General features: G+C 38.2%; 1 long non-coding RNA gene across 2 annotated transcripts in view; it reads left to right on the plus strand.

Moving 5' to 3' along the window:
• Window positions 1–8684, plus strand: part of LOC105374686 (uncharacterized) — a 55146-nt gene extending 46462 nt beyond the window's left edge. For both annotated transcript variants that reach the window (XR_925850.2, XR_925849.2), the window contains one exon: window positions 7832–8684. This is a non-coding gene — a long non-coding RNA (uncharacterized LOC105374686). The remainder of the gene's footprint in view (window positions 1–7831) is intronic.
• The last annotated feature ends 1432 nt before the right edge of the window (window positions 8685–10116 follow it).

Genomic DNA, 10116 nt, shown 5'->3' on the forward strand with positions numbered 1-10116 from the left:
TTTCTATGTGTTTCCCCCTGCCCTCATAATATATCAGTAGTCCTATCTTTCCCTGTTAATCAAGGTAAGTTTTCCTGCAAATATCGTGACTTTCTTTCTGCCTACTGGTCTCCTATCAAAAGGGTATCTTCTTTGGAAACCAGGACTTGTATCCCAGCAGAGCCCAGAGTTCTGGAAATGCATAAATAAATTAAAATAAATTAACTGAATGGACCATTGAAGGTGATGGCTTTTCCATGGATCCTGGAACTGTAAAATCTTCTGAGTTGGGATGAAGGAACAGAGAGAAATCTCTGATTCAGTGAGGATGGAGCTCCATCCTCAGTGTATTACCTCCAAACTGGCATTTTAGATGCAACTTTATCAAGCCTTTCCAACTCTGTCAGTCCAGCTGTTTCTACATAGTGCAATTTAGCATCATTTCCACATTTCCTTCATTGTTAGTGAGTCCCCTGTTCTGGAGCTCAGTTGTGTGGGATTTCATGCCTATGGGCAGGTGTTCCATAAGCTCCTAGATAATGGTGTTGGCTGAGGCTCAGCAAGCAAGAAAAGCAAATCCATGGTTGAAATACATATCTATTCCTGTGAGAACAAATCAATAGCCATTCCAAGACATTAAGAGCCAGTTGATCTCCTTGAGGCATAGTGTCATGCCAGGGACTCTTTGTTGCTCTCCGTTGTACATTTAGAGAAGGCAATAGCTAGATAAGCCTTGATGAAAAAGATTACATGCACATCCTTCATCCCTGTGAATATGCACACATCACTTGTATGTTCATTTGTCTACCACTAAGTAGCTGCTGACAAACTCTGGTTAACATCCATTGGCTTAGCCATTTATATATATTTTATTAGATAATGTCTTTTCTACGGTGGATATTTCCTTTTGCACATTAATATCTTATACACAGATCTTCACTTTGTCCCAACTCCTATATGTCCATCTGATTGTCTCTACTCCAGGCCTTCTGTCACTAATCTTTCAATATCTTTCCTGTGGTCTCCTGAATAATTATCTATGTAGTTAACTACTACTCTTAGCCTCAGATATTCCTCAAATCGTATGAGTAAACAGGTTTACCACCCATAGCTTCACCCATTGGAGAGGTTTTTCTCTTTTGCCTGTTGTTCAAGCCTCCCTGCAATGAAGCTACTCTCCAGTTTATTATAGAACCAACATGTTTAGCTAACCCATGGCTAAACCATGCTTCCACTTCTTTATCCACATTCAATTGTTCTTAATGGCCCTTATGACCATTGGTGCAACCTGAGGGAGGGGTGATGGTGCAAATGTTCTTTGTGACATGGGAGTCCAGGAAACTTGCCCACATAGTTTTTCTTATGCTCTCTTGTTCTACTTGTGCTCAGTCCTAAATCTATTATTTCTGTTTTTCAATAAATTTGCCACTAGACCTGCCTGACTTGAAATCTCTGACAAGACTCAGCTCCTGTTGTGTAATTCCAAATACAAGTTCACCTGTGTCTCAATGTAAATCATTTTGATTCTATCCAGAGACAGATGCATGCCAACAGCTGTTTTTTAAATGATGTATCTTTGTGCTGCAAAGGGCATGGTCTTTCTAATGGGTTTATGTTAGGATCCTACCAATAGAGTTTGTCATTAACTCCAAAGTGCATTCTTTGCTACCCCTGGTATTTCCTACACTGTAGATACTGCCAAGAGCACTGTTTGCACCATAGCCTGGACCTACTGCAGAGTTCTTCCTTGCCCTAGGCCTCCTTAAAGCAAATAGCCTTCCATATCACCTGCTATATATCCAGGTAGTATTCTTTGGGGTGAACTGTATTGTCTCCAGAACCTTGAGATGTTTACTAGGTGGTATCCATGCTTCATCGTGGTAGGGAATGCAAGACGCTGCATTTTGCCTTTTGTTTGGGAGGGGATATTCCAGCATGCTCCTAACCATTCAGGCTCCTGAAGATTTTACTGAAATGGTAGTTTCTCGTTATCCATAAGGTTTATTTCTCATACTCCGGAATTCACATATTTTATTAAAGTCTCCATCCTGCTAGCCCTTGTTGATCACACTGCCAATTCTTCATGATGATATAGGGATGAAAGAACCTCGTCTGTCATCTCTTGAGGTTTGATATTTGAGTCTGAGAAATAAACTGACAATAGACCGATAAGCAAGAACAAGTGCATAGAAATTTACTTACGTGCTTAGGAGCATCACAGGAAGGTGAGTGTTCAATATCCCAATGAGGTCTAGAAGTTTAAATACTTTTCTTCATAGAATAATGGAAAATGGGGGGTGTAGGCCAATTTTTAGAGGGGTGGTAAATGATTTTTAGGAGAGATAAATGAGACAGCAGAACAGATAGCCTGGGACAAAGTTTGTCTGGGCTCTAAGTATGATGTTTGATTTTCAGTCTCTTCCTCTGTGATATGAGTTTCATCTTTGTTGGTTAATGAAATTTCAGTGGGAAGACCGAAGGCATTGTGCTCTTCTTTGGTGGATCCGGTCTTCAGGTAGATAAAGGAACTTCAGAGAAAACCCTCTCCCTTTGCTTCAGGAGAGGCAGAGAGATGAGAGACAGTGGGGCAGGAGAAAGCGAGAGAGAGATTTTGGTTTTGAGATTGCTTCTTTAGTTCAAAGTATTCAGCATGTCAAAGCACCATGCTTTGAGGTGTGTTTTCTGAACCCCATAACATCAGTGTAATGGAGCGACATGATGTTTCGCACAAGCATTATTCCATGTTCAACATATCAGATGCTATCGGAGCCACTACCTGTGCTCTTGTGTTAGTCCACAAAATTCACTTTCAGGGTTCAGACTGGTGAATCAAATGAAGTGGTGACAGGGACCCTCTGCTCTGCATTTCTTAGATCTTTACATGTTGCACTATTCGCCACCATCCTGCTGAATCACAAAATATTGTTTTGTATTTATAATCTTGGCTGGGGGAAGTTTTAAAAACTTCAATTTTTTAAAATTATCTACTATGATAGCTGTTATGCCACAAGCCAGGTTCACAATGTAGAGATTGCTCTAACCACAAAACATCCAATTATAATTACATATTTAGAGACTGGTGAAATGACTACCAGGTAATTTTTCTAATGCCGTAAACCCTCTCTTTACTGGACTTTGACAAGGATTCTACTTTTTAACCTGGTTAAAAAGATCAGAAGAACTCCAGTTTAATGGGGAGAAGAACATGCTAACACATCATGTATCAGATAATCTATCTCATCTCAGACCCTGTGTTCCATAGTTCTTGAAATGACATAGTTCCACAATTTTCGTTGGGCATTGTGCTGTCATCCAAGCAAATAGCCACAAGGCATCTGGAAAAGGACTGATAAAATTATAACAGCATTTTCTTTTTTTGCCACGTCTTTCTTCCTACAGACCTGGAAATCTCTTTAGTCAGTGTGTTTCAGGGAGAAAGCTATAGGAACTGGACAAAGTATTATGGTTTTTATTAAGATTACTGCTCTTAGCCTCCCGCTTACTCATTCTTGCTTTGTTTAATCATGTTTTACATTGTGATTACATTACACAGTACCCTAGTTGGCTGCCCATTTCTTTTGCTCCTGGAGTTGCTATGTCTATTACTGATTTCTGTAACACTCTTCAGGTTAAACCATTTCAGCTGCCACTTAGATTTTGCTGGTTGTTACAAAAATTGTATCCTCTCGAAGGTTCTGCTGGTTCTTAAATGACCTACATTCTCCACTGCTATTAATAAGTTAAACTCTATAACCTTTCCTACCCTCTATTTTAGCCTGCTGAGTTGCCACTGAACTTCTTAATGACGATGGCTCTCTTAACCATTGTATCCCTTATGACCTGGGTAAATGATGTGCGCTTCGGCCTTCTCATAAAACAAAATTATCTCACTCACATAATACATACACTCTAGCATGTCTATCTTCTTCATTTGTTCTACTCCTCCTCCACCATCTGCTATCGCAATTAAAGCTTTTCAGCTTCACTCTTCCTGGGTTTATTTTCTCCAGACTTCTAGGAGCCAACCTGGCATTGAGCCTGCACCACCACCCACGCCCCGGCCTCAGAGTCCTGGCTAAGGTATTAAGCTCCTTATGCTGAGGGTATCCCCTTGCAAATGAGTTGGGCAAACTGCACAGAATGAGAGAATAGTCCCTACGAGACTTACTCTCACTTCAGATACCAGTCATAATTTCAGGGGCCTCCTGGGCCACTCTCACTTTAGACTAGCTGACTTCAAATTTATAGATCCCTATGGATTCCAAGATCAGTAATTTACTAGGAAGACTCAGAACTCCTTGAGAGCAATTATACTCCCCATCATGTTTGTAACAGGCAGAGGATCCACATTAGAACCAGCTCAATGAAGAAATGGATATTGCAGAATCTGAGAGGGTTCTAAACTCAAAGCTTTCCTCATGCTCAGAGATATGTTGCCCTCTCAGCATTAATGTGCTACAATATTCAGAATACTGACAGGTAGACAATCTCACCCATACCTTTAGTGTCCAGAATTCTTTTTCTTTCTTTTTTTTTTTTTTTTTTTCCGAGACGGAGTCTCGCTCTGTCGCCCAGGCTGGAGTGCAGTGGCGCGATCTCGGCTCACTGCAAGCTCCGCCTCCCAGGTTCACGCCATTCTCCTGCCTCAGCCTTCCGAGTATCTGGGACCACAGGTGCCCGCCACCACGCCCGGCTAATTTTTTGTATTTTTAGTAGAGACGGGGTTTCACCGTGTTAGCCAGGATGGTCTCGATCTCCTGACCTCGTGATCCGCCCACCTCGGCCTCCCAAAGTGTTGGGATCACAGGCCACCGCGCTCAGCCCAGTGTTCAGAATTTTTATTGATCACATACTGTCTCTGTGGCTAAACTTTAGTCTCCAGTTCCCATCCTCAGCCAAGAGATAAGACTAATGCATTTTGTCTCTACTTCATCTGGAACTCTGAACTTATAGGGCATGGTTCAAAGCTTCCATTGCATGTCACATTGTTAGATTTCCTGTGGACAAATTCTAGAATAAAGATATTCCTCTCAGGCAGGACACTCAGAGCCTAGAGGTTACCCAACAGCAGCAAAGAACAAAGGCCAAACTTCCCTTTGGGTAAAGTTAATTATTCACTACACATCTCTAAATTCACCCTTCATCAGTCTTATGTTTTGGCCTCTTTAACCACACATTCTTATAATCCAGGTTTACTGGATTTCCATGCAGGGAAAAGAGGCTAGGTCCTATACTGCAGTCTTCATGATTGTGAAGGGCCATGCCAAGAACATGATCTTGCCTCAAAAGATGAGGAGAATTTAAAGGAGTTAACAGCTTGAAGTTGTCATAACCTTGCTTATCAAAGTACTTTCTTAAAAGTGATATCTGAGCCACTCATCTCAACGTTCATACCACATAACTTGCAGCACACGAATTTACACTAGGTTTACTTAGGACTCTTATTGTACATGTGCTTTTTTCTCCTACATATAAGCAGTAAAAGTAGATAGAATAACCTATACTATTTATGAGTTAAGAAATAATAAACATATGTTCTCACTCATAAGTGGGAGTTGAACAATGAGAACACATGGACACAATGAGGGGAACATCACAAACCAAGGCCTGTCAGGGGGTGGAGGGCTAGGGGTGGATAGCATTAGGAGAAATACCTAATGTAGATGACAGGTTGATGGGTGCAGCAAACCACCATGGCACGTGTATACTTATGTAACAAACCTGAACATTCTGCACATGTACCCCAGAACTTAAAGTATTAAAAAAAAGAAATAATAAACATAAAGGATATTGCAAAGTAACCTTTAGAGTATACTGTTAGTCATATAAAACACTATCGTGTGTGTGCACCAAGAAAAAAAAATACCATAAAATATGTTAATTATGTTTGTGTTTAAAAGGTAATATTTTGGAATATTGACATAATCTTTTTTTTTTTTTGAGACGGAGTCTCACTCTGTTGCCCAGGCTGCAGTGCAGCAGCACAACCAAGACTCACTTCAGCCTCGACTTCCAGTGTTCAGCCTTGACCTCCAGGGTTCAAGAGCACAATCAAAGCTCACTCCAGCCTTGACTTACAGGCACTTGCCACCATGCCTGCCTAAATTTTCTTTTTTTTTTTTTTTTTGTAGAAACAGGGTTTTGCCATGTTTCCCAGGCTAGTCTCAAACTCCTGGGTTCAAGCTATACTTTCTCCTCAGCCTCCCGAATTGCAGGGCTTACAGGCTTGAGCCACCGTGCCTGGCCTTGAAATAATTATTTTCATCTATCTCATTCCCCGCAAACATTTGAAGCTTTTGCAAATCTCTAAATATATCTTCTTTTCTCTATTTCGGTGTGTGTATAGTCCTATGTCCATGTGTCACTAACCATGGCTATACATTTTGAGAAACACCTTGTTAGGTGGTTTGTTATTATGTGAATTTTTATTATATAGAGTGAACTTTCACAAACCTTGATGGTATGGCCTACTACACATCTAAGCTATATGGTATAGTCTATTGCTTGTAAGCTACAAATTTGTACAGCATGTTACTATACTGAATACTGTAGGCATTTGCAACACAAAGGTAGCTATTTGTGTATCTAAACATAAAATGGGTGAAGTAAAATTATTTCAATAGTATAATCTTATGGTTCCATGGGGCCACAATTGTATGTGTGACTCGTCATTGACAAAAACATCATTATGCAGCGTGTGACTATATATATATTTATAACATAAACACTTCAATCTGATATTGCTTTCTAAGAAAGCACAGTCTCTGAAGCCAGACATACTAACTTCCAAATCTTCCCATACTAAAGGTACCATCTTTGATGAGCTACTTAACTACTTGGTGCTTTAGTCTTTTTATTTATAAAAAGGGTGTGATAATAATAACTAAGTCAAATTTATTTTGTGTAAATTAGATGTGATATGGGCTTAGAAACAGTGTCTGGTTCATATTGATCATAGAATATTAGTACCATTGTAGCTTTTTTGTGCAGAAGAAAACACAGGCAAATGATAGAATTTTGGAGTCTGAGGCTATAGTTTGACTTTTTTCTTAGATATATAACTTGTAGGAAATAAGCTTATACTTACGAACACTTCTTCTGTATCTCCAAATTGAGAATAATTATGGAGATGTTATAGGGTCATGAAGAATATTGAATAAATGATTACATGTACACTTTCTAATAAAAATGGTATAATAAGCCTCTACGATGATAGTGATATTTATTTGAGAAACTTATAACGTGAAATGATTCTTATATCAAGAAAAACTCATGGAAGCATTTATTCTCAGGGAACTGGAATTGAAATCATCACAATAATCACCATGATCGGTATTATTATTACTGTCATCTTTAATATTATTCACGTTGTCTTCATGTCCAATATCATACTTTTGGTCTGAGTTAATCAATAAACATAAGCAAAGTGTTTTCTGAATCCTGTTAATCAATCATTTGTACTAAGGGGGGAAAAAAGTCATTTCAGTTCCCAGTTGATCCTGTTACTAATCTTGCTTTTCCATCTCCTATTTTTATTTCATAAAGAACCCTCATATTTAGAATAATATATTCCAGCCTTAGATTATAGTTTCCTTTGCATGTGCTTAATTTTCTCATTTCAATTTTTCCATGGGGTCAAAGGGATACAAGAGATAAAGTATAGTCAATTAACAGAATCTGTGCATACATGTATTTAAATGATGTAAGTAATTATTATTATAGAATGGTTCATTATTATTTTTAGGTTTGAAAATTAGTACTTTCAATTTTCTCAAATTAAGTGCATTACATAAAATATCTCTTTCTGTGGAATTAGATCTAACAAGTGACTCTCGTGGTTTGTTTATTCCAGATTAACCGCTTTGGGATTTATCTTGGTTATCTCATGAGCTGAAAAAAAAGAAGTCCCTATTCTTACAACAAGAAAAGCCTTGTTCAGGCTGTAAAGTAATGGCTTTTCTAACCCAGATGAAAACAGGTCAAAGGATAAACGACCATCCAAAATTCTGAGGAGACATAGGCACATCCAGGGAGACAGAGGAGTCAAACAGTTGCTAACCTTGGACAGAGGCTGCTAGATACCAAGAAAGCCCGCCAGAATATCGAAGAAACACTGATAATTCCTTGGAAGTTGAACATTAGTATGGGGCTACGGTAATGGGCTTTCCACCCATTTGAATGCTTTTTTCTCTAGAAACACCATGAGGCTTTTACAGGGGGGATCTGAGAGAATCCAGAGAATGTTTCCCTTGTCTTACTAGTTGGGGAGGGAAAGACCAGACACCGTAAAGTCCATCCAGATCCCACTGCCATGTGAAACAAAGGCTTAATCAGCAGTGGGAAGGGCCAGAAGAATGCAGACTAACAGTACTAGAGGATATTTTTTGCAGCTAGTAAAAGGAAGATGGAGCAGGAGACACTGTGACAGGTAGCTTAATGTTACTCCATACATTTCATATAAACTCACTTTCACTTATTTATGTCACGAGTGCATTTACGTATTTATGTATAAACAAATGTACATTGAATAAAATTTTGGCTATATACAAATACGTGTGTGTGTATGTATGTGTGCATTGTAACTAATTTATTTTTATTTTCATTTAACTTAATGCTTTGTGAACACTCTTCCATAACACTAAAAATTAAAATACTTGGACTTTAGTGGATGCATGAATGTTGCTATAGCTTGTAGAATATTTAAGTTCTTTGCAATTTTAACTCTTATAAATGTTCATTGTGTTCAGTTTGGGCTCTCAGAAATATAACTTTACTAAAAATAGTAAGTTAAAGATAATGTATACTTACACAATTATATTTAATCATTCCTTATCATAAGAGTAATTGTTAGAATTAGTATCACCTAATTTAGACCTTTTTTCCAGACCTTTGCACCCTATTTCCTAAATTGTTTACAGAAAGTTTATATTAAATTACATTCACCTTAGGAGTGAATTAGAGTCCCCATTTCTCTATCTTCTTCTCCACCCAAGCATACCTTCTCTATATTTTAATCCTGAAAACATGTTCCTCCTGACACACAAAAGGTGATACTAGGTAAAATCAAATCAATAATCCTGAAGTTTTGTATTTGAGTTAATGGTCCTCAAAAAGCATGTGATATTACTACAAATATATTTACAAACCTGAAAATAGTATATTTTTGTATCTGTTGGGAAATGTTTAATTTTAGAAACATAGTTTCTTTTGAGACTTTTCTTATTAATACTAGCAGTATTTGAACAATGCCTTCTGTAGCTTCTGTCTCTTCCATCTCACTTTTTTTAAAGTGCCATACACTATTTCTAACAGCAAGATGTAGTTCCTAATGGGCTATAGAATGTGAATCATACATCGATAGTCATATTATATATTAAAATATTTATGCAACTTATTTTTTCAGCACTGATAGCTGTACACACTTTGGAAATGACTCCTGGACAGATCCACTGTGAAGAGTGTGTGTGTTTTGACAATCACTTTGCTACAGAGTGGAAAACAGGTCTGCCTATAAGGAGCTGCCTATCAGAGAATTTTAATTCTCTTAGGATAAAAGATACTAGTACACCTAGAGGAAAATTGCTACTATGGTTTTCAAGGCAGTTACAGTAGATAGCGTGTCCTAAACTGCTCCAGTATATTACTGCCTCTTGCTTTATTTCTTCTCAATGTATGCAAACCTCCTGTTTGAAAGAAGTATGTCATTTACAGCCACGGATATTTTTCATCTGACGTAAATTGCCACATTTTAAATTTTAAGACATCCGTTAGTTGCCAGTACTTCAAAAGGGTGCTCTGTTGTGATCACCACACACTGACCTCTCCTGGTCTTTATGGCACACAGAGAGATGGGCAATTATGGGAAATTAAATATGTAAAGTTTCTTCTGACTTAGTTAACCAGGGCAAGAAGACTCATGATTTTTATTCCACAGGTATCTTTTATCTAATGCAGAAAAGAATAATATCAGAAACATTGAAACATTAAACTGTTTTGAAGGGATGAAGGAACCAGACATTGGAAGGTCTTTAAAGATCATGTAATCTAACCCTTTTAGAATGAATGAGAAGATGAGGGCCTGTGAGGTTGCACGCATGCCTGCGGTGGAAGAAAAGAGCGAATGACCACCGGGTGCAC

The sequence above is a fragment of the Homo sapiens genome, chromosome 5 (assembly GCF_000001405.40).
Source record: "Homo sapiens chromosome 5, GRCh38.p14 Primary Assembly".
In the NCBI taxonomy this organism is placed as follows: Eukaryota; Metazoa; Chordata; class Mammalia; order Primates; family Hominidae; genus Homo; species Homo sapiens.